This window comes from Homo sapiens, chromosome 5 (genome assembly GCF_000001405.40).
Source record: "Homo sapiens chromosome 5, GRCh38.p14 Primary Assembly".
NCBI lineage: Eukaryota > Metazoa > Chordata > Mammalia > Primates > Hominidae > Homo > Homo sapiens.
Window position 1 is genome coordinate 81,376,127 of NC_000005.10, and position 25,700 is coordinate 81,401,826.

The 25,700-nt window shown below is 41.6% G+C and overlaps 1 protein-coding gene across 5 annotated transcripts in view; it reads right to left on the reverse strand.

The window, feature by feature from the left end:
- The window catches only part of ACOT12 (acyl-CoA thioesterase 12), an 85,526-nt gene extending 67,518 nt beyond the window's left edge, over window positions 1-18,008 (reverse strand). For all 5 annotated transcript variants that reach the window (XM_017009047.2, XM_017009046.2, XM_017009045.2 and 2 more), the window contains exons 1-2: window positions 17,862-18,008; window positions 9,631-9,700 (exon numbers count right to left, since the gene is read on the reverse strand). In XM_017009047.2, the coding sequence (XP_016864536.1) occupies window positions 9,631-9,700; window positions 17,862-17,988 (197 nt within the window). In that variant the 5' untranslated portion in view covers window positions 17,989-18,008. The remainder of the gene's footprint in view (window positions 1-9,630; window positions 9,701-17,861) is intronic.
- Between the last annotated feature and the right edge of the window lie 7,692 nt (window positions 18,009-25,700).

Genomic DNA, 25,700 nt, shown 5'->3' on the forward strand with positions numbered 1-25,700 from the left:
ATAACAAACAGTCTCTCAGACCACAGTGCAATCAAATTAGAACTCAGGATTAAGAAACTCACTCAAAACCACACAACTACATGGAAACTGAACAACCTGCTCCTGAATGACTACTGGGTAAATAATGAAATGAAGGCAGAAATAAATAAGTTATTTGAAACCAATGAGAACAAAGACACAATGTACCAGAATATCTGGGACATATTTAAAGCAGTGTGTAGAGAGAAATTTATAGCACTGAATGCCCAGAAGAGAAAGCAGGAAAGATCCAAAATCAACACCCTAACATCACAATTAAAAGAACAAGAGAAGCAAGAGCAAAAAAATTCAAAAGCAAGCAGAAGACAATAAATAACTAAGATCAGAGCAGAACTGAAGGAGATAGAGACATGAAAACCCTTCAAAAAAGTCAATGAATCCAGAAGCTGTTTTTCTGAAAACGTCAGCAAATAGATAGACCCCTATCCGGACTAATAAAGAAGAAAAGAGAGAAGAACCAAATAGACACAATAAAAAATGATAAAGAGGATATCATCACTGATCTCACAGAAATACAAACTAATATCAGAGAATACTACAAACACCTCTACGCAAATAAACTAGAAAATCTAGAAGAAATGGATAAATTCCTGGACACATAAACCCTCCCAAGACTAAACTAGGAAGAAGTCGAATCTCTGAATAGACCAATGACAAGTTCTGAAATTGAGGCAGTAATTAATAGCCTACCAACCAAAAAAAGTCCAGGCCCAGATGGATTCACAGCCGAATTATACCAGAGGTACAAAGAGGAGCTGGTACCATTCCTTCTGAAACAATTTCAAACAACAGAAAAAGAGGGACTCCTCTCTAACTCATTCTGTGAGGCCAGCATCATCCTGATACCAAGACCTGGCAGAGACACAATAAAAAAAGAAAATTTCAGGGCAATATCCCTGATGAACATCGATGCGAAAATCCTCAATAAAATACTGGCAAACCGAATCCAGCAGCACATCAAAAAGCTTATCCACCACAATCAAGTCAGCTTCATCCCTGGGATGCAAGGCTGGTTCAACATACACAAATCAATAAACATAATTCATCACATAAACAGAACCGATGACAAAAACCACATAATTGTCTCAATACATGCAGAAAAGGCCTTCAACAAAATTCAACAATCCATTCATGCTAAAAATTCTCAATAAACTGATATTGATGGAACGTATCTCAAAATAATAAGAGCTATTTATGAGAAACCCACAGCCAATATAATACTGAATGGGGAAAAGCTGGAAGCATTCCCTTTGAAAACTGGCATAAGACAAGGATGCGCTCTCTCACCACTCCTATTCAACATAGTGTTGGAAGTTCTGGCCAGGACAATCCGGCAAGAGAAAGAAAGAAAGGGTATTCAAATAGGAAAAGAGGAAGTCAAATTGTCTCTGTTTGCAAATTACATGATTGTATATTTAGAAAACCCCATCTTCTCAGCTCAAAATCTCCTTAAGCTGATAAGCAACTTCAGCAAAGTCTCAAGATACAAAATCAATGTGCAAAAATCACAAGCATTCTTATACACCAATAACAGACAAACAGCCAAATCATGAGTGAACTCCCATTCACCATTGCTTCAAAGAGAATAAAATACCTAGGAATCCAACTTACAAGGGATGTGAAGGACCTCTTCAAGGAGAACAACAAACCACTGCTCAAGGAAATAAGACAGGACACAAACAAATGGGAAAATATTCCCTGCTCATGGATAGGAAGAATCAGTATCATGAAAATGGCCATACTGCCCAAAGTAATTTATAGATTCAATGCTATCCCCATGAAGCTACCATTGACTTTCTTCACAGAATTGGATAAACTACTTTAAATTTTATATGGAACCAAAAAAGAGCCTGAATAGCCAAGACAATCCTAAGCAAAAAGAATAAAGCTGGAGGCATCATGCTACCTGACTTCAAACTATACTACAAGGCTACAGTCACCAAAACAGCATGGTACTGGTACCAAAACAGATATATAGACCAATGGAACAGAACAGAGGCTTCAGAAATAACACCACACATCTACAACCATCTGACCTTTGACAAACCTGACAAAAACAAGCAATGGAGAAAGGATTCTCTATTTAATAAATGGCGTTAGGAAAACTGGCTAGCCATATGCAGAAAACTGAAATTGGATCCCTTCCTTACACCTTATACAAAAATTAACTCAAGATGGATTAAAGACTTAAAGGTAAGACCTAAAACCATAAAAATCCTAGAAAAAAACCTAGGCAATACCATTCAGGACATAGGCGTGGGCAAAGACTTCATGACTAAAACACCAAAAGCAATGGCAACAAAAGCCAAAATAGACAAATGGGATCTAATTAAACTAAAGAGTTTCTGCCAAGCAAAAGAAACTATCATCAGACTGAACAGGCAACCTACAGAATGGGAGAAAATTTCTACAATCTATCCATCTGACAAAGGGCTAATATCGAGAATCTACAAAGAACTTAAACAAATTTACAAGAAAAAAACAACCCCATCAAAAAGTGGGCGGAGGATATGAACAGATACTTCTCAAAAGAAGATATTTATGCTGCCAACAAACATAAGAAAAAAAGCTCATCATCACTGGTTATTAGAGAAATGCAAATCAAAACCACAATGAGATTCCATCTCACGCCAGTTACAATGACAATCATTAAAAAGTCAGGAAACAACAGATGCTGGACAGTACATGGGGAAATAACGCTTTTACATTGTTGGTGGGAGTGTAAATTAGTTCAACCATTGTGGAAGACAACGTGGCGATTCCTCAAGGATCTAGAACTAGAAATACCATTTGACCCAGCAATCCCATTACTGGTTATATACCCAAAGGATTATAAATCATTCTACTATAAAGACACATGAACACGTATATTTATTGTGGCACTGTTCACAATAGCAAAGACTTGGAACCAACCCAAATGCCCATCAATGATAGACTGGATAAAGAAAATGTGGCACATATACACCATGTAATACTATGCAGCCATAAAAAAGGATGAGTTCATGTCCTTTGCAGGGACATTGATGAAGCTGGAAACCGTCATTCTCAGCAAACTAACACAAGAACAGAAAACCAAACACCGCATGTTCTCACTTGTAAGTGGGAGTTGAACAATGAGAACACATGGACAAAGGGAGGGGAACATCACACACGGGGGTCTGTCAGGGGGTGGGGGGCTAGGGGAGGGATAGTATTAGGAGAAATACCTAATGTTGATAATGGGTTGATGGGTGCAGCAAACCACCATGGCACGTGTATACCTATGTAACAAACCTGCACGTTCTGCACATGTACCCCAGAACTTAAAGTACAATAATAATAAAAAAAAAAGCACCATGCTAAACGCTTTGTATCATAATCTAACAACACGTCATTCACTGAGCAGTAACCCCATGAGGTGGGCATTATCATTCCCATTTCATTCCCATCAGGAAACGGCCTTAGAAGGTGACATAGTGACTGGCAGGATCAGAGTTCAAACCCTGGTCTTATCTGGCTCCAAAGCTTTGACGACATTACCCTACTCAGGTTTCTGGTAAATAATTGCAATTCATACTATTTTAATCATAGTAGAGAGGCTTGTTCAGATATACATATCTCACTCTGTCACCCAGGCTAGAGTGCAGTGGTTCAATCATGGCTCACTGGAGCCTTAAATTCCTGGGGTCAAGCGATCTTCCTGCGTTGGACTCCCAAAGTGCTGGGATACAGCATGAGCCAGTGCATCTGGCCCAGATATATTAAAGACAGTCTACAAGATGAACCAGTTGGGTTTACCTAGAAGAGTGACTGCATCTGGTTAAAGCCTTTGCACACATATTGTTACTCTACATACCTGTCATAATCTGTAGCATTTTTTGGCAGAAAAACTGGAGGTAAAGAGTTTAATAATACATACATATGTATATTTATTTAAGCAATTAATTCCTATATTAGAAATCTGAACAAATTTAAATTTCTGGCACAGTTTTATTAACCCTTAATTTTATAAGTTTGAAAACTGATAAAACCTACATAACAACTGCTCTGGAGAGGAATTTGGCAATGTTTAATAAAATGACATATGCATTTACCCTTTGACTCAGCAATCCTATTTCTAGAAATCTATCCCACAAAGGCCAGGCATGGTGGCTCACACCTGTAATCCCAGCACTTTGGGAGGGTGAGGCAGGTGGATCACCTGAGGTCAGGAGTTTGAGACCAGCCTGGCCAACATGGCAAAGCCCTGTCTCTACTAAAAATTCAAAAATTAGCTGTGTGTGGTGGCACGTGCCTGTAATCTCAGCTACTCGGGAGGCTGAGGCAGGAGAATCGCTTGAACCTGGGAGGCAGAGGTTGCAGTGAGCCGAGATCGTGCCATTGCACTTCAGCCTGGGTGACAGAGTGAGACTGTCTTAGAAAAAAAAAAAAAAAAAGAAAAGAAATCTATCCCACAAATATACTGGAAAAAATACAAACAAACATACATCTGCACAAGACTACAAATTGAAATATTATTTGTAATAGCAAAAGACTGGAAACAATATAAATGTTCATCAGTGGAGGGCCAGTTGAAAAATGTAGTGCGTCTCCACAATGGAGTACTATGTAGATACTAAAAGGAATGATGAATATCTACTTACAGTTATGCCTAGTTTAATGACAGGGGTGTGTTCTGAGAAATGCTTCATTAGGTGATTTTGTTGTTGTGGAAACATCATAGAGTGTACCCACACTAATCTAGATGGTATAGCCTCCTACACACCTAGGCTATACGGTATAGCCTATTGCTCCTAGGCTACAAACCTGTAGAGGATGTTATTGTGCTGAATACTGTAGGTAACCGTAACACAATGGTAAGTATTTGTGTATCCAAACATAGCTAAATGTAGAAAAGATGCAGTAAAAATGCAGTATTAAAACCTTTTTTTTTTTTTTAGAGATGGGGTTTTGCTCTCGTTGCCCAGGCTGGAGTGCAGTGGTGCAATCTTGGCTCACTGCAACCTCCGCCTCTCAGGTTCAAGTGATTCTCCTGCCTCAGCTTCCCGAATAGCTGGGATTACAGGCGCGTGCCACCACACCCAGCTAATTTTTTCTATTTTTAGTAGAGATGGGGTTTCATCATGTTGGCCAGGCTGGTCTCAAAATTCCTGACCTCAGATGATCCACCCACCTCAGCCTTCCAAAGTGCAGGGATTACAGGCGTGAGCCCCTGCACCCGGCCAGTATTAAAATCTTATGGGACCACTGTCACTGACCAAAATGCTGCTATGCAGCACATAACTGCATATTGGTATGGAGTGATTTTCTAGATGGAAATACTACATATTTTACAGTGTATATTTTATATACTATATATACTTTTCTCCACCTCATTTTTAAGTGAAAGAAGTGAGGTGGAGAAGAGTACACACAGTGTGTTGAAATTTATTTTTAAAATAACATGGATACATATAAATATTTCTTTACATTAAAAAAAAGAAGGATACAGCACAAAATAAATAAAGCTTACATAGAAAGAGAGGGAGGGGCCTAGACAGAAGGTAGGGAGGAGCCAGTTTCCCCAGGGTGAAATGGGTCTGTTTTCCAGATTTGACTCTGGTACCTGTAGATATTTTAAACTATAAAACAAAATTAAATGAAAATAAAAGTCATTCCTACAAAATAAAAAGCAAATTAAACAAATGAACTTAAGAATGTATGAAGTCAGTAGCTTAACCACATGGAAAATGATTATTTCAAATGACTTCAAAATACAGTGACTTGGCTGTACCAGATGAGATACAGTTTGAGAAAGAAACTGCATAAATAATCTTAAGCTACTTTCTCTATTCATTTGTTAGTGATAATATTGGTACTGTTATTCTGAATCTAATTAATGTGTATATACATATTAATTTCAATCAAATAAGTTTATGTCTTTAAATATCATGATATTCAGCATAAAATAAAATTAAAACTCAGAGATATAGACATAAAATCAAAGAAATTAAGTAAAACCATATAACCCTAAATTATTGCAGTTTATTAATTTAAATGCTTTAAAAATACATAATTTCTAATTCTGTCCGCTGAAAAGGCCGAGAACGAATGCCCATTTTGATGTGATGTGCACCTTTCCTGCCCAGGTTGTGGTCTCTACTTCTCATTTCTACTGCAAGGAATCAGGACTCCTTGGAGAAATAATGGATTCTAAGTTTGTGGGGGAAAATGTAAAAGATGAGACTGAAACATTTTATACCAGAAGGCCAAGGAGTTATTAAGCACCTTTAACTTTGGGCTTTTGTTCAAGGGACTTAGGGATTAAACTGAAGAAGCTCCCACTGCTCAAAGATGGGGCAGTCTGAACTTCTGTAAGAATAATAACATTGCCCAGGCGCAGTGGCTCATGCCTGTAATCCCAGCACTTTGGGAGGCCGAGGTGGGTGGATCACCTGAGATCAGGAGTTTGAGACCAGCCTGGCCAACATGATGAAACCCCATCTCTACTAAAAAATACAAAAAAAATTAGCTGGGTGTTGTGGCAGGCCCCTGTAATCCCAGCTACTTCGGGAGGCTGAGGCAGGAGAATCGCTTGAACCTGGGAGGCGGAGGTTGCAGTGAGCTGAGATTGCGCCATCGCACTCCAGCCTGGGTGACAACAGTAAAACTCTGTCTCAAAAAAAAAAAAAGAAGAAGAATAACATGGATGAATTGTAACACATCAAGTACATGAAAATCCATAGGCTCTTAATGAATAAAGGGAAAGAGTCAAGACTTTCCTGAACAAACTTTTCCTCAGGATACTCAGGTCATTAGTGAGAGTTTCCCTCTAGAGAAGTATTTTAGAAAATAAATGAAGAAGAAATGATAGAATTAGCATATTACCATGTTTCCAATATCTAATGACAGAATGGTTGTAGTCTATGATCATTAGATATCATATGGCCTTGACATGAGAAATTTTTACCGAATATCAAACCCTCACCAGCCGGGCGTGGTGGCAGGCGCATGTAATCCCAGCACTGTGGATCACCTGAGGTCAGGAGTTTGAGACCAGCCTGGCCAACATGGCAAAACCCTGTCTCTAATAAAAATACAAACATTATCAGGGCATGGTGGCAGCTGCCCTGTAGTCCCAGCTACTCGGGAGGCTGAGGCAGGACAATCGCTTGAACCTGGGTTGCAGTGAGTCAAGATCGCACCACTGCACTCCAGCCTGGGTGACAGAACAAGACTCCATCTCAAAGAAAAAACAAAATCAAACCTTCATCATGTCAATTTTTAGATGTAACTGTCAGATTACAAGAAATACAAAGGACAGGAGAACACATTAATCAAGGCTACAGTGGATGTAAATTCTATAAAACAAATGACCAGGTTTCTTTAAAAAATAAATTGCAAGATAAAAGAAGGAAGGGAACATTTTATGTTAAAAGACACTTAAGAGACCTATCACCTATACTGAATCCTGGTTTAATAAATCCCATAAGACCTTCTAGTAAGACAGGATGTGGAAGCAGAACAGTGATACTGGTGATCCTGACCCTGTGTAGGCCTAAGGTAATGTATGTGTTTGTGTCATTGTGTTTAATAAAAAAGTTTAAAAGGTAAAAAAAAAAAATAACAAATTTTAAAAACAGAAAATAGCTTATAGAATAAGGTAAGGACATAAAGAAAAATATTTTTAAACAGCTCTATAAAAGGCTTGTGTTTTAAGCTCAGTATTATTACAAAAGAATCAAAAAGATTTTTTTAAGTTTATAGAGTAAAAAAGTTACAATAATCTAAGGTTAATTCATAATTAAAGAAAGAAAAATATTTTTATAAATTTGGTGTAGCCTAAGTGTGTGGTATTTATAAATTCTAAGGTAGTGTACAGTAATGTCTGGGGCCTTCATATTTGCTCAGCACTCACTGACTCCTGCACTCCTGCAGAGCAACTTCCAGCCTTCCAAGCTCCATTCATGGTTAAGTGCCCTACATAGGTGTACTTTTTTTTTTTTTTTTTTTTGTAGATAGAGTCTTGCTCTTGTCGCCCAGGCTGCTGGAGTGTATTGGCGTGATCTTGGCTCACTGCAACCTCTGCCTCCCAGGTTCAAGCTATTCTCCTGCCTTAGCCTCCTGAGTAACTGGGATTACAAGCGCCCGTCATCACAACTGGCTAATTTTTGTACTTTTAGTACAAAATTAGTACAAAATAGACGGGGTTTCATGTTGGCCAGGCTGGTTTTGAACTGCTGACCTCAGGTGATCCACCCCCCTAGGCCTCCCAAAGTGCTGGGATTACAGGTGTGAGCCACCACGCCTGGCCAGGTGTACCATTTTTTCATCTTTTATACTGTATTTTACTGTATCTTTTTAATGTTTAACTATGTTTAGATACACAAATAGTCACCATGTTATTATAATTGCCTACAGTTTTCAGTACAGTAACAGGCTGCACAAGTTTGTAGCCTAGGAGCAATAGGCTATACCACATAGCCTAGGTGTGTAAGAGGCTGTACTGTTGAGGTTTGTGTAAGTACACTCTATGATGTTCCTACAAGGATGAAGTCGTTAGTGATGCATTTCTCAGAACATATCCCGTCATTAAGTGATGCATGACTGTATAGACTGAAACATTTACAGATGATGCTTGGGGTTTTCCTCAAAACAATCCAGGCATATGGGGGAGTGTGGAGAGGTATTGATAAAGCAAGAGTGTCTGTGAGTTGATAATTGCTATAGCTAGGGGTGAAGGGTCCTTGCGATACACTGTACTATCCTCTCTTGTTTTATAGGCTGGTGGAAAAGTAATCGCAGTTTTCTCAATTACCAACCTAAATATGTATGTTTGAAATGTTTGTGTATCTTGAAATTTTCTACAGTAAAAGATGGTTAAGAACTTTCACACATAAAATGTTTTTCATAATTTACTCTCTCTACTCAGATGAATTAGTGTTTACCTAACAACCTGATGAAATTCACCATTATAAAGATACTTATTATCATTAATTATTCTTCTAGTACAGGAAGGGGATGTTAATAATTAGCTTATAGTAGCCGGGCATGGTGGCTCACTCCTGTAATCCCAGCACCTTGGGAAGCCAGTGGGTGGATCGCTTGAGCCCAGGAGTTCGAGATCAGCCTGGACAAGATGATGAAACCCCATCTCTAAAAATAAATAAATAAATAAATACAAAAAAAATTAGCCAGGTGGGCATGGTGGCATGTGCCTGTAGTCCCAGCTACTTGGGAGGCTGAGGCAGGAGGATCACTTGAGCCCAGGAGGAATAGGTTGCAGTGAGCCAAGATCACACTACTGCACTCCAGTCTGGGCAGCAGAGTGAGACAATTAAAAAAAGGAGCTTATAGAAAGTCTGTTTGGCTGTTATGCCTTATGCCACAATGCATCTAAGGCTGAGAGCTATTTCTCCACAAAATTGAGACTGTGAAGTTACACTTAAGAGTGTTTCTTATAAGTAGGCCCTATGATTATTTTTTTACTTACCTAAATTGGGTCACATGTTATTTATTTTATTAAGAAACAAGATCACTACCTCTGCCTGAATAAGCTCAGGTGCCACCAATACATGTCCCAGATGAACCCACAAACCCAGGAGAAAGGAGCCATGGAGCAATGTCACTTACCTAGCTGTCTCCTCAAACTGTATGTCATCCACTGAGGCTGTAACGCAGGAAACTCCAGCATGTTTCTCAGCTTCAAAAAATACATAAAAATGTGCTGCTTTAGTGGTGATATGAGAATATTTCAGTATAAGGGAAAGGAATGAAATGTAAGTGCATTGATTTTAGTCACCCATCCCTCATTCATTATAGCACCACTGTGCCTACACTTTCTGGATCAACTGGCTCATTACAAGCTTCTTTGCTCTGTGAGTTATATTTCTAATGTATGGTAATTACTGCACTTTTTATCCTAATTTTTAACTTACATGGTCTTGTATTTGAAATTTAATACCAAGATCCTGCAAATCTAGCTATTGAAATAGCAATTTTAGTAAGTTGGTGCTGACTTTAAATATTTTATCAGGTACTATCCTTCTTGTTTTAAAATCAAAGCATCACAGGTGTAGCCACTTGCCCACATAACCAGTAGCAGAATCTGTTTAAATGATTTAACCACCGTAAGCACTTGAGCGGTATGGGAAACCCCGAGTCATCCCAAATCAAAGAGGATCTTCTCTGGGTATCAGAGAAAGAGAGATGGGCACACAGTAGATATTTAGTCAATATTTATTTTATTATTACCAAATTTATGCCAAATTCAGTATACATTAATTACCTTGAAGGAGGAGTATTGAGTAGGGTGGGAGAGTTCAGGAAGAAGCTTAGTTATTTCCATGTTCTATGTCTGCACGTAATTTGCTCAGATTTTTTTTTTATTGTTGGTTTTGCTTTACATAAAAAACACCAGAATTTATACTCTGTGGGGAAGATTTTGACATGTGCTTCTGCCAGATTTGATTTTGAGAAACACAATTGAAAGCCAAACAGATTATATTGGCTTTATAAGAACTTTTGACCTCATTTTAGTTTTGGAGACTTCAGTCCTGGTGCCACATGATGAAGAAAAGAGTGAATTACACTGAATTTGTCTTCCTTGTGCGTACTGGATCATTATAACTACATATGTATTAATTGATAGTCCTAGGTAAGAAGACATGAGAGATACCCCACTGCGCACGTATTTAACACATTCCTGTCTAGGATCTAATTCTGCAGAAAATTGGACATTCAAATGTTCAAGGAAGGGAAAATGGAAGAATCGGACTCTAGGAATGCTCAAGGTGGACTCAACTTAATTCAATGCACCAAACATTTGTTAAGTTCTTGCTGATTTCCAGACACTGAGTTGGATGAGTTCCATTTTTTTTTTTTTTTTTTTTTTTCTTTTTTCAGATAGAGTCTCACTGTCACCCAGGCTGGAGTGCAATGGTGTGATCTTGGCTCATTTCAACCTCCACCTCCTGGGTTCAAGCAATTCTCCTGCCTCAGCCTCCTGAGTAGCTGGGACTACAGGTGTGCACCACCATGCCCAGCTAATTTTTTGTATTTTTAGTAGAGATGGGGTTTCACCATGTTAGCCAGGATGGTCTCGATCTCCTGACCTCGTGATCTGCCTGCCTCAGCCTCCCAAAGTGCTGGGATTACAGGCATGAGCTCTATCTTTTAAGCAGTCCACTCTGTGGCACTTAGAGATCCAGCCATAGTCAGTACCCTTTTAGAGCTTAAGTTTTCCAGGGAACTGCTGAAACCTTGCAAATATATGCTTAAATCATTGATTAAAGAATACTTAATAAACATTCATTCCAGTTACTTGACATGAGGGAATGGGATGTTGAGGTTATTAATTCTTAGTAATAAAGTGTTATAATGTATACCAACATGAGTATCTTGAGTATCTTTTTTTTTTTTTTTTTTTTAAGAGACGAGGTCTGTATCACCTAGGCTGGAGTGCAGTGGCACGAGCATAGCTCACTCCAGCGTCGAACTCCTGGGCTCAAGTGATCTTGCCTCAGCCTCCCAAGTAGCTGGGACTATAGGCATGTGCCACCACAGCTAGCTAACTTTTAAAAAATTGTTTAAAATATTTTTTGTGGAGACAGGGTCTCATGATTTTGCCCAAGCTGGTCCCAAACTCCTGGACTCAAGTGATCCTCCTGCCTTGGCCCCTCAAAGCACTGGAATTACAGGTGTGAGCCACCATGCCCGGCTGAGTTATCAATTTTGAATGACTTAAATGATAACTAAAATGCAGTAACCAGTAAAAAAATTAAACTTTTATTGTTTATATTGGGTATCTATTCTGTATATGTAGCACTATACTAGATTTCTTAAGGGATCAAAAAGTAATAAAATCATGACAGTTACTTTTTATTAAGCATTTATTATTGATCAGGCACTGGACTAGTCATTTAAGCATGTCGATTACATGAAGTTGGTACTATTATTAGCTCCCTTTTATAAATAAGAAAATTTAGGCTTAGAAAGATTAAATGCATTGTTCTAAATAGTGATTTTGACTATAGAAGCAATAGGAACTTTCAGGAAAGAGTAGGTTAGACAAACCAGAGAACACTCCCAGAGAAGGACGTGGCTAAATATGGGTTTCAGGAGCTCAATAATCATGATTTATACCATTGATTTTCAAGGGTCATTAAACTAAAAGGAAAAAAAATATGGGGACCACCATAGGGTCCTGGCTTCACATGTCATTACATGCGTGCTGTGTTTTTAAACGAGTGTCAATTAGATGACATGAACTCACAGGACTGGCTTGTTCTGGTTCTTGATTTTGATTGCCCTTCATACCAGCAGAAGTGGAAAACCCTAAAGCTGTTTCTGATTTCCTGGGAGAACAAAGAGAAGCTAAGTGATTGTAAGTAGGTACGAAATGATGACTGATAAAAATAGTGGTAACCTTCCTTCATTTCTTCCTTCCTTCAGCAGATATTGATTGAACACTTGTTTTATTTTATATAAGGCAGCCTCTGCGTAAGGTGCTGGCAATGGGAAACAGCCAGGACCCCTGCTCTCATGGAGTCTAGTGGATGAGCTAGAGGTTAATTAAATGGATATTGATATGGTTTGGCTGTGTCCCCACCCAAACCTCATCTTGAGTTGTAGCTCCCATAATTCCCACATGTTGTGGGAAGGAACCGGTGGGAGATAATTGAATCATGGGGGCAGGTCTTTCCTGTGCTATTCTCATAATAGTGAATAAGCCTCACGAGATGTGATGGTTTTATAAGGGGAAACCCCTTGTGCTTGGTTCTCATTTTCTCTCCTGCCACCGCCATATAAGAAGTGCCTTCCACCTTCCACCATGATTGTGAGGCTTCCCCACCCACATGGAACTGTGAGTCCGTTAAATCTCTTTTTCTTTATAAATTACCCAGTCTCAGATATGTCTTTATCAGCAGCATGAAAATGGACTAATACAGATACATAATGACAAAATGGACTAAGTGCTCTGAAGAAAACAGGGATTTTATGACAGTCAGTAACTGAGATAATACACTAGGTGGGGTATCCAGGAAGGCTGGAGGGCAGAGGAGGGGAAGGCCTGCTGAGCAGAGGGAACAGTGACTACAAAGGTCCTGGTGACTGCAATGCAGAGAGTAGGAGGGAGAGTGGGTGAGATGAGGCTGGAGTGAAGGCTGAGGACAGGCTATGCACAGGGCCTTGAAGCTCTTGGTTCAAAGTTTTTGTAATTATTATTCTTCAAGATATTGTTGCACTGCCTTCTGGTCTCCACTGTTTCTGATGAGGTCAGTGGTAATTCTAATTGTTGTTCTCCTATATACGGTGTTTCAGTCTGGCTGCATTCAAGATTTTCTCTTCATCATAGTTTGACTATGATATGCCTGGATGTATTCTTTGTATTAGTTTTTCTTTCTTTCTTTTTTTAAATTGGAGACAGAGTCTCACTCTGTCATCCAGGCTGGAGTGTGGTGGCACAATCTTGGCTCACTGCAACCTCCGCCTCCTGGGTTCAAGAGATTCTCCTGCTCAGCCTCCTGAGTAGCTGGGAATACAGGCGTGCGCCACCATGCCCAGCTAATTTTTGTATTTTTAGTAAAGATGGGATTTCACCATGTTGGCCAGGCTGGTCTTGAACTTCTGACCTCAGGTGATTTGCCTGCCTCAGCCTCCCAAAGTACTGGGATTACAGGTGTGAGCCACCAGGCCCAGCCTGTATTAGTTTTTCTTGATGTTCTATGACCTTGAATCTGTAATTGTATGTCTTTCACCATATTTGGAACTCTAATTATGTTTATGTTTTATTTTTCCACAAATCTCTGACACTTTATTTTATTTATGTATTTTTTTTTTTTTTTTTGAGACAGGGTCTTGCTCTGTTACCCAGGCTGGAGTACAGTGGTGCAATCATGGCTCACTGCAGCCTCGACCTCCCAGGCTCAAGTCATCCTCACACCTCAGCCTCCTGAGTAGCTGGGACTACAGGTACATGCTACCATGCCTGGCTAATTTTAACATTTTCTTTTTTTGGTAGAGACAGGATCTCTCTATGTTGCCCAGGCTGGTCTCAAGTTCCTGGGCTCAAACCATCCTCCTACCTGAGCCTCCCAAAGTGCTAGGATTATAGGCATGAGCCATTGTACCTGGCCACACTTTATTTTTAAAATTCATTTTTTTCTGTTCTTAGATTGGATAATTTATATTGATGTATTTTTGCATTTACTAACTCTTTTCTCAGCCATGTCCATTCTGCTGTTAAGCCTAGCCATTGAGTTTGTTATTTTAGACACTGTATTTTTCAGTTCTGGAATTACCATTTGGCTTTTAAAAAATAGTTTCTATTACTCTGCAGAAATGTACTGTCTTTTCAATCTTTTTCTTCTTTTTCTTTTTCTTTTGAGATGGAGTCTCATTCTCAAATGAGACTCCAGCACTGGCTGGAGTGCAGTGGTACAATCTCGGCTCACTGCAATCTCCACCTCCCAGATTCAAGTGATTCTCCTGCCTCAGCCTCCTGTGTAGCTGGGATTAAAAGCACCTGCCACAACACCCGGCTAATTTTTGTATTTTTAGTAGACAGGGTTTCATCATGTTGACCAGGCTGGTCTTGAACTCCTGACCTCAAGTGATCCACCTGCCTCAGCCTCCCAAAGTGCTGGGATTACAGCAATCTTTATTATCATATTTTTAATTATATTATTGAGCACAGTTATACTAGCTGCTTTAAAATCCTTGAAGCTTAATTCCAGCATCAGGGTTGTCTAGGGATGAATCTCCATTGATCATCTTTTCTCTTAAGAATAAATCATGTTTCCCTCTGTATTTCAAGTAATTTTGGATAATATCCTAGCCATTGTGAGTGATCCATTGTAGAAACTGTGTTTCTCTGAAAAGTGTTGGTTTTGTTTTTGGTTTTGTTTTTTAAAGCAAGCAGTTAACCTGACCAAACCAAAACTATAATCTGTCTACCTAGAGATGGGCACAACTATTTTCAGTTCTTTTGGCCTCAACCAGGAGGTTTGGAGTCTGTCCTATGTATACATGATTCAAGATTTGCCAGATATCTGGGAAAAGATTATAGATAGATTTTAGGGCTCTGTCTCTCTGGCTCTTTCCTTTCTGGAACTTTCCCTTTTGTATTTCATTCAGTAGCTGTGCTTTTCCCAAACCCTGTCTTTGGGCTCTTCAAACCAGCAAGCCTGTGGGTTTTCCATCAGAACTATAGCTGGGAGCAGACTGGCATTTTCTTTCAGGCTTCAAGTCATTTATAAAACAAACACAGAAAAAGCCAACACCACTTTGTTCTTTCATGTGTTAACTTTCAAGTGTTATAAGCCTACTTTTGTTCACTTTTCACCTGCCTTAAGTCTCTTTTATTTAGTGTTTTGCCCAGAGTTTATAATTATTATCTGTGGGAGATTTTTTAGTAGGAAGCACTTGAACATCTTAGAAAAATCCTTAAAGCCCTTGGTGAAGAAAAGAAAGGGAAAAATGAACAAAACATATGACATGATCAATCAGATTAGCATCTTCAAAGATTACTTTAGAAGCAGTGTGGAGAGGAGACCAGAACGAATGGAGATGAGTTTGGAAATCACTGCTGAAGTCTGCATGAAACATGATGATAGCTTGGAGTAGATGGTCGCAATGGGGGTGCAGCAAAGTGCTTGGATTTCAGAGACTCCTTTAGGGGGTAACACTGATAGGACTTGCTCCATGCATAGAGTATGTGAAGTGAGAAGTAAGGTGGAGAGAGAAATATCAAGGATGACTCCTAGACTTTTGACTTGCTCAACTAGATGAGTTGGGTGCCACTCCAGAGATAGTAAACCCTGGAAAAGATTCACAAATAAAAAACCGTGTGTGTGAGATGTTCCAAAATAATACATGGACGTGTGAGATAGAGGATTACTCAGATAGCTTCAAGACTTTAGACTTAAGGGACTGGAAAAATAATGGGGCCACTGACAGAAGTAAGGATAGTGAGAATATTTCATCTTTCTTTAAATATTGAGAAGACATTTTGGAATCCAGCAGTGCCTAGGGGTCATAGAAATGCCTTGGGGGCCATGACTGGGATTGCAGTAATGTGGCTAAAGAGATAATGCTGGCCTATAAAAAACTCTGAGAAAATCCCAGAGAAATCAGTTTTATATTACTACACAGATTCAGTTACACCTTGGCTAAATAATGTCCCCTGCTTATGTGGTGCCTCAGGTCACCATAAAGTGTTTAACACAGGCGTTATTCATGTTGCCCAAACCAACTTTATCATACAGGTTTTCTTAATATTAGTAACATTATCAGTTATTAATATTATACTACTAATAGTAATGTAACTATTAAGGTATAGAGTAATTGATTGTCAATTGGATCTTTCCATGGTTTCCAAAGATGTCAGGTCATAGAAATGATGACAATTGCAGGTGGGCCATTGTTTCTCCATCACAAGACAGAGGCACTAAGCAAGGTAACTAAAAGTCACTTCAGTGGTCTCATAATGTATTCAGTTGCCTTGGAAACAGGCATCATTATTATTAGCAACCTCAGTGGTTTATGTATTATTCTTTTTTCCTATGTGTGGATTAATTTTGTATTCATGTTTCCATTGTTAATATAACCAATCTCAAATCCTGTTAAAAAAAAAAAAGGCTTAAACGAATCATTGATTTCTCACAATTGTGGAGGCAGGGAAGTTCCAAATCGAGGTGCTTGCCCATTGTAGGTCCTAGTGAGGGCTCTCTTCCTGGCCTGTGGATGGCTGTCTTCCTGCTGTGGCCTCACATGGCAGAGAGAAGCTCTCCAGTGTCTCTTCTTATAAGGACATTAATTGTATGGGACCAGGATTCCACTCTTATGACCTCATTAGCCTTAATTCTTCACTCCAAATAGAGTCACACCAGGGGTTAGGACTTCAGTGTATAAATTTCGGTGGGTGGTGTGGGGGATATAATTCAGTCCTTAATAAATGTTTTTGCCATTTTTACTGTCATTCTGTCACAAGAACACAGTGGAGTTTTCCAGAGACTACATAAGGGTGTGGTAGCAGCAGGGTGAATGCAGAAGCAGGTATGAGTAGTCAGCAATCCTCCACTAGCCAGACCTTAGAGAGACTCGCCAGGATGTAACCTTTATCACCACTCCTCTCGCTACACTTTTGTTCTTGTGGAAAATAGTTATTTCTTAATTAAAAATGTTATGCTAACAATGTAGTCCATTTCTTTTTTAAAAATAATTAAAAATTTTAAATTTCCATTACGGTAAATGTGATATAAATAGCCTACATAAACAAAAGCTGCCTGGGTGCGGTGGCTCATGCCTGTAATCCCAACACTTTGGGAGGCTGGGGCCTCCCAACACTTCAGGATCACTTGAGTCCAGGCGTTTGAGACCAGCCTGGGCAACATAGTGAGACCCCATCTCTACAAAAGCAAAACAAAACAAAACTCCCAAAGTCAGCTGGGCCTGGTGGCGTGCGTCTGTGGTCCTAGTTACTCTGGAGGCTGAGGTGGGAGGATCGCTTTAGCTCAGGAGGTCGAGGCTGCAGCGACCTCTGATGGCGCCACCGCTCTCCAGCCCGGGAGAGAGCTCAACAACAACAACAACAAACAAACAAACAAAAAACCCCGCAGAAGCTCTCTGGGCTCCTCACTTGTTTAATGGAATGAAGGAGTCCCGAGAGCCACACATTTGGGAACCACCGGTCTCGGCCATGCCCAGCGCGGGCGCACTGTTGCAACACCCCTATCCCTGGCTGCGCAGGGTTCAGCTCTCCGCAAGTACCTTCCTCGCCTTCCTACCCCCCCCAGCCCCCAGCCGCCGCCGCTCCCGCAGCCCCGGTCCCGCGCCTCCCCGCAGCCCCGGCGCCCGCCTACCCGCCAGGCAGGCGGTGGTGTCGATCCACTTGAGCAGCTGCCCCGCGCTCAGCTCGCCGCGCGCAGTGGCGTGCGCCGGCTGGATGGCTTGGCTCATGACCACCTCGCCGGGCGCCGGCCGCTCCATGGCCAGGGCGAGAGCGCTACGCCTGCGGCCCCCGACACCCCACCATGCCCGCTCCGCCCGCCCCGCCCTCCCCGCCCAGCTCCAGAGGGCACTGGCGCCGCCCGCCCGGGCCGCGAACCCCTGGCCGCCAGGTGGTGGGAGCTGCGAGTGAGGGGGCCCGCACTGTCATCCCAGGACTATCGCGAGTGGGGGAAAACCAGCGCTCTCGGGTCTCAGGAGAAGTCTGGGAAGTGCGCGGGGAGGGGGCTCCCGGGTAGACAGGTCTGGAAGGCGGCTCCCCGAGAGCCGGAGCGCGAGGAACAGCTTTTGAGATAAAAAAGCTGTTACACTTTCTAGAGCTGCTATCAGTGACTGTACAAAGCAGTCCTCATTAGGGAAACAGTGTCTCCAGAAAACCTCCAGCATCTAATGGATTGGTGGATGTCTGACTGTCAGGGGAGGCTGCTCCAGGGAGCACATTTACGATGGAGAACTGGAAACCCGGAGAAGTGGAGCAAGCAGCTGAGGTGATAGGAGCCGATAAGCGACCCGATCACCTGGCTGGAACCCAGGGCTCCTGACTGTCCGGAATAGCACGAAGAAGCCTAGCCGACTCTCACGAATTGGTGGTGCCTTTTCATCCTTATATTTTTGGCTTGCCAAGCCTCAGCATGGCGACATCAGAATGGAGATTCTGGTATTTTTCTTTCCTTTTTAAAAGATTTTTTTTAAAATGAAAGTGAAGAAATAAGGAAATGTTGACTTGATAGCTTTTAGGAGCCTCTGTGTATAGGTTTCAGGACAATCCAATCATAAATAGGAATTGCATGTTTTCACTGAGGCAAGCATGAAGTCTGACTTATATAAAAGGCATTAAAATAACTTTTAAAAGCAAACAAAAACTTGTGCATCCAAGATGGTCCCATTATGTAGCTATACACTTATTTCAATGATAACGTTATTACATCGCTTTTGGCACTCCTCCTTGGAAAATGCCTTTTTAATGACTTCTGTATTGAGAAATCATAATTTAGGAATTGATAGATTATCATATATTCACTCCATCTACCAATAACTCTGTGAGAGTCATTTATTGACCTTGGACTTGGCCATGTGGCTTGCTTAAGAATGGAATGTGGAGAGATAGCAGTGTACCACCAGTCTTGCCTTTAGAAGCACCGTGTTTCTGTTCTCAGGAACATCTGACCTCTGCCATGAGGTCAAGTAGCTGCCTATTAGCATCTGGGTACCAGACTGAATTCACGTATTGCAGAGGCATCTCAGCCAGCCGGAGGACTCACAGCCTGAAGCAGAGCAACCCAGCAGACATGAAGACTCTTGAGTGAGACATAACTACTTATTGTTGTGTGCCACTGTGATTTTGGGGGTTGTCTGTTATGCAGCAATAGCTGACAGTTACATGAGTGAACTGTATTAATATTTGGGAAGTTTATTAAATTACTGGAAATAAAGTTTGCATTTAGGCTGGGTTGTATTATTTTGGGTAAAAAGTGGTGACTAAAGTGGTGATATTGAATTATGTGTATGGTTGTATACTTGGTTTCTTATAAACTAAAGAAACTTAGGCCAGGCGCAGTGGCTCATGCCTATAATCCCAGCACTTTGGGAGGCTGAGGTTAGGTAAATTGCTTGAGCTCAGGAGTTCAAGACCAGCCTGAGCAACATGGTGAAACCCTCTCTCTACCAAAAATACAAGAATTAGTTGGGCGTGGTGGTGTGTCCCTGTGGTCCCAGCTACTCAGGAGGCTGAGGCAGGAGGATCACTTGAGCCAAAAAGGCAGAGGTTGCAGTGAGCTTGAGTCTCAAAAAAAAAAAAAAAAAAAAAGAAAAAGAAGAAGAAATTTCAAAAATGTTTACGCATAAGTGTAAGAGGATGGGTTTCCAAAATGATTTTCTTGAAGGGGACAGCATGTGTATATTTGTGTGTTTGTCTAGAGATGTTGCTTTAAAAGCAGACATGGTACACAAATTCACTGCTGTGTTTTCTTATCTTTATTATCTCCTGTTTAGATGTCTTCAGATTATGGTTTCATATCTTTTGTTGGTTTCATACTAATTTTCATTTTACTATTCTTGTGTTTTTCTGAATGGTCCCTTTCTTCCTTTTACAATGAAAATGTCATCTGCATGCATGAACATTTGTTACCTCCATTTCTCTCTGGTGTCAAAGATTTTTACTATTATGCTTGAATAAAAGGTCGAGTTTCATTTGTGTTTAGAGACATTTTTGAAGATAAGCAGAATGTGAAGCCAGCTTGATTTTAAAAGTTTGTACACAGGAGCAGGAAAGCTGATCCAAAAAAGTGTGGGAAGTTCCACAATCACTAGAATAACGAGAAAATCTTTAAAATGCTGGAGTGGGAAGGGGAACTGGACAGTCTAAACTCTTATTCTAGAGATGAGGAAATGAAGTGATTTCCTTGGGTCACATTGTAAGGTAGTGGCTGGGTTTTGTGAAAACTAAGAACAAGGAACCTGGAATATAAGTAGAGAGGTAGAAAAAAAAATGCTTTCTCCAGAAACAGAGCCTCTGACAAGAATTTGAGAGCAGACAGTTTATTTGGGAGGAAATTGCAGAAAGCACTGGTAGGGGCATCAAAGTGTAGTCCCCAGGTAAGCAGCCTCAGCCTCACCTAGGATCCTCTTAGAAATGCAGAATCTCAGGCCGGGAGTGTTGGCTCATGCTTATAATCCCAGCACTTTGGGATGCTGAGGCAGGAGGATCACTTCATCCTAGGAGTTTGAGACCAGCCTGAGTAACATAGAGAGACCTTGTCTCTATAAAAAAAAAAAAAAAATTTAAAAATTAGCCAGGAAAGGTAGCATATGCCTGTGGTCCCAGCTACTTTGGGAGGCTGAGGTGGGAGGATTGCTTGAGCCCAGGAGGTCGAGGCTGCAGTGAGCCATGATTGGGCCACTGCACTTCAGTCTGAGTGACACAGTGAGACCCTGTCTCGAAAAGAAAAGAAAAGAAAAAATTATAAATGCAGAATTTCAGGCTCCAACTCAGACCTACTGAATTAGAGTCTAAATTTTATTAAGATTCCTAGGTGATTCAGGGGCACATTACAGTTTGTGAAGAACAGCCCCAGCCATCCCTCCCACTGGCATGAACCCTGGGGTTTTTATCCTCTGACTGGCATCCTTCATTGACTAAGGGCTGGTCCCAGGAGATGAACTCCCCAGGACTTCTGCAGATTTCAGAGCAAGAGCAAGCTTTCAGCTGGAGCTTTATCTCAGTAGGACAGGAAGACGCTGTCAGCTTGGACTAGGACTCAGAATGGTGAGTGCCGTGGCCATGTGGGCAAGGCAGAGAGCCAAAATCCTTACTGTCCTGAACAGCAGAGGCAGCCGGGAGCCTTTCCATTGTGGGAGATATGTCCCAGACAGAGGGTTTGCTAGTTCAAGTACTTCATACAGAGATGAACTTGATTAGCCATCAAACTCTCTCTCTACATTTGGTATGTTTTAAAAGGTGTCAGGTCAGTGTTTCCAAATTCAAATACAAATTTATAAGGATGTGGTTCAAAGTTTAAACTCAGAGCCCCTAAGCAAAAATTCCAGGATGGGTTTTCTCAGCTTTTGGCCGCCAACTTCTTGACTGGAGGGTCTCCTGTCCTTCTCTGCCCCTGAACCCTGCTCTAGGGATGGCAGTGACTTTGGGGAATGGGTTTTCTGCTTGGACTGTCCCTCTTAGCACCTGGAGCCTCAAGATAACCTTGCTCCTGTTTGTCCCTGCACTTCCGGTGGCCCCTTCTTTCTGTCAAGCATTAGGTGTAGAACCTAACAGCCACCACATTTGTGTGGAGTACAGAGCTTTATTTTGTTTGAACAAAAGCCATGTGTATAGAATCTAATTTTTCTGCTTCCCCAGATTTGTTTGGCCCCACTTTCATCCCAGGCCATTGATTACTGCTCAGTGGAGTCCCTTTGCGGTCACCACCACTGCCTGTGAATATGTTGGAGCACATTGTTTTCAAATACTGCATCCCACTTGCTCATGGTATACAATTCTTTCTATATATTGCAGATTTCCATTTACTAATATTTTAATAAGAATTTCTATGTCTGTATTTTTGGGACATGTTGGTCTGCAGTTTTCTTTCTTTAAAACTGTCTTTGTCTGGTTTTGGTGTCAGGGTTCATAAAATGAATCGGGAAATGTTCCCCCACCATGTATTCTGAAAAAGACTGTATATATTTGGTGTTCTTTACACTTTTGGTAGAATTCTCCAGTGAAACTATCTGGGCCCTGAAGATTTTTTTTGGAAGTTTAAAATTTTTTTTTTTTTTTTTTTTTTTTGAGACGGAGTCTCACAGTGGCGCACAGGCTGGGGTGCAATGGCACGATCTCTGTTCCCTGCAACCTCTGCCTCCCAGGTTCAAGCAATTCTCCTGCCTCAGCCTCCTGAGTAGTTGGGATTACAGGTGTCCGCCACCACACCCAGCTAATTTTTTGTATTTTTAGTAGACGGGGTTTCACTATGTTGCCGGGTGGGTCTCGAATGCCTGACCTCATGATCCTCCCGCCTCAGCCTCCCAAAGTGCTGGGATTACAGGTGTGAGCCACCACACCCGGCCATTAATTCGATTTTTGAAACAGTTACAGGGGTACTCAAATTATTTCGTATGGGGTGAGCTGTGGTAGCTTGTTTTTAAAAGAATTACTCCTTTTTATCTCAGAAAAGGTGATTTGCCAAAGACTGAGATTGAGCTAGAGCCTGATCTGGTGCTTTTTCTTCCATCTGGCAGAGCCCTCCCCTCTCTGGCTGGCTCTTAAAGCTGCCCCTTCCTGCCTCCCTGGCTTTCCCCAGATCTCTCCTGCCCACACCATTTCCTGCTTTCTAAGCCAGCTTTCAGCTACTTCCCCTTAGGGGAGTGGTTCTCAAGATTTTCCAGCTCAACCCATACATACTGAATCCGAAATTCCAGGGGTGGGGCCAGTAACTTTTTTTTTTTTGACATGGAGTCTCGCTCTGTTGGCCAGGCTGAAGTGCAATGGCATAGTCTCGGCTCACTGCAACCTCCGCCACCTGGGTTCAAGCGATTCTCCTGCCTCAGCCTCCTGAGTAGCTGGGATTACAGGCACATGCCACCATGCCATTCTAATTTTTGTATTTTTAGTAGAGACGGGGTTTCATCATGTTGGTCAGGCTGGTCTCGAACTCCTGACATTGTGATCCACCCGCCTCGGCCTCCCAAAGTGCTGGGATTACAGGCGTGAGCCACCACACCCAGCCAATAACCTGTTTTTAACAATTTTTCCATGTGCTTCTGCTGCACAGTATGTTAAAAACTACTGCCGTATGGTGTCTTTCTTTAAAAGAGTAAAGCTTACAGTGCAGTCCTTCCCAAGAACATCTTCAGTTTAACAGGGGGCCTTTTCAGACCTGTAAAGGAATTTGTGATGCGGGGAAAAGGGTCACAGTCTTGGGTCTGGAGAGATGTGTTTGTGTCTGAGTTAGACCCTATCCTTGCTAGTGTTGAACTCGAATGTATCACTCAATTTACACATTAGTTTGTTTTTTTTTTTTTTTAACAAAATAGGGATGCTTTCCCTATTTCATAAAGTTGTGATTAGATCATAGAAAGTATTATCAAATGGAATCATGATAACTGCTATTTATGGAGGGTCAAGTCTCACAACAACCTTGCAAGTAATATTCTCTTTAAAGAGCTGGGAAATCAAGCCCAGATAATTCATAAGCACTTACAACATGCCACACATCCCTATGAAGTATACAAACTACTACAATTCCCATTTTATAGATGAGGAAACTGATGGAACTTGCCCAAGACCACATAACTAGGAAGTAGTAGAGTCAGGATTCAAATCTAGAAAGTCTGGCTCTTGTTCAGCTGGGCTAGGAAGTTGATGCATGTGGTGCAGAGGACACATGGGAAGTGGGAGAGATGGGAGTGGTGCCCAGTTCTAGCTCCAAAGGCCATGCTGGTGCCTCTATTTCAAGTCACCTTCATTCATTCAATCAGCACATACTTATTGAGTGCCTACTTTGTCGCAAGGACTGTTCTGGTCATTGGATAAATGCTGGTGAGTAAAATAGATTGGTCCTTAGAACTTTATAGAATTCATAGTTTAAAGATAACATGGAAATGGCTACAAAATAATGTTGACTATTCTAATGAGGATGAAATGGAATGATAAGCACATAGGGAAACTGGCTGATGGCTGTGTGCAGCTCCTGAAATTATAACCTGCTGTTGACCGTCTACTAGACTTAAGATCAGTGCTGAGTTGGGTCTGTTTTTTAAAACAATCACCAACTTACAGAAAATTTGGAAGTCCTGTACAAAGAACATATTTTTCTCTGATCCATTTGAAAGTAAGTTGCCAACCTGATGCTTAGCCCCAAGTACTTTAGTGTGAATTTCCTATAAACAGGACTTTCTCCTACTGAACCATAACACACCATCAAAATGAGGAAGTTGACATGAATCCTCAGAGCCTGCTATGGTTTGAATGTATGTGTCCCTCCAAAATTCATCTGTTGAAACCTAAGACCCAATGTGACAGTTTTAAGATGTGGGACCTTTTGGGAAGTGATAAGTCCCGATGGCTCTGCCCACATGAATGTATTAGTGAGTGCCCTTGTAACAGGGCTGGAGAGTACTATCTACGTAGGCCCTCTTTGCCTTTTTTTTTTTTTTTTCCTTTCTCTCGAGGTCACCATGTGAGGACTCAGTGTTGTGGAGCCACTAGAAGCTGAAAGGGGCAGGGAAGGAAATCTCCCCTAGAGCTTTTGGGGATTACGGCCCTGCCAACACCTTGAGTTCTGACATCTGGGCTCTGGAACTGTGGGAGAATCAATTTGTCTTCAGCCCCGCAGTTTGTGGCAATTTGTTACAGCAGCTGTAGGAAATGAACACACCAGCCACCTAGAAAACCACCAGTTCAGATGGGTGGGTCAGATTCCAACTCCACCTGAAGGGATAATTCTAGTTTTCTCCCTCCTCATATTTTCAACTCCGTTTTCTGACAAGAAACCTGGCTTCTGTGATGCTTAATAGATTGACTTCTTTGGTCAGTCCCCCATATGACAGCGACCTCCCTGCTCCTCTGCCACCCTTGGCCCTGAGGGGGCTCCCTCCCGACCTCCCCACTGGACTCAGGGCAGTGTCCTGCTCTGGGCACACACCCATATCCTCTGTCTCACCTAATGGCTAGACACACATTACTCGGAGGGGAAGGGAAGGAGAAGGGTAGAGGAAGACCAGCCCTGGTTTATGCCCACCCTTGCTGGAGCATCTCGACTCTCGGTGCACTGCCCTGCTCCCCTGGGAGGTGCTGGGTGCCCACCGTGCCAGGCTGGAATGCGGGTGCCCCTGCAGGAGGCTGAGCCTGTATGTGATCACACAGTGCAGGGGTCAGGCTTCGATGTAAGAGTGGCAGGAGTGCGTGTCACCGTCTTACCCTCCCCTCCTCAGAGCGTCCCGACGCACCTGCAAAACCCAGTGTATCTTTCTACACATGTGGTGTCATTGGCCAGGCCAGGGCTTGGCTCCTGGGAGTGGTGCTGCAGGCAAACTGGGGAGAATTGAGATCCTTTATTTCAGTTAGGATAAGGCATGCATTTAAATGTCAGAGGCATTTCCTGGTGGCATAATGGATATTTATCCCCTATTAGATAGGGAGCAATCTGCACTGAAGAAGCCTTCAGATTAAATTTCAGGGATGAACCAAGATTCATCCT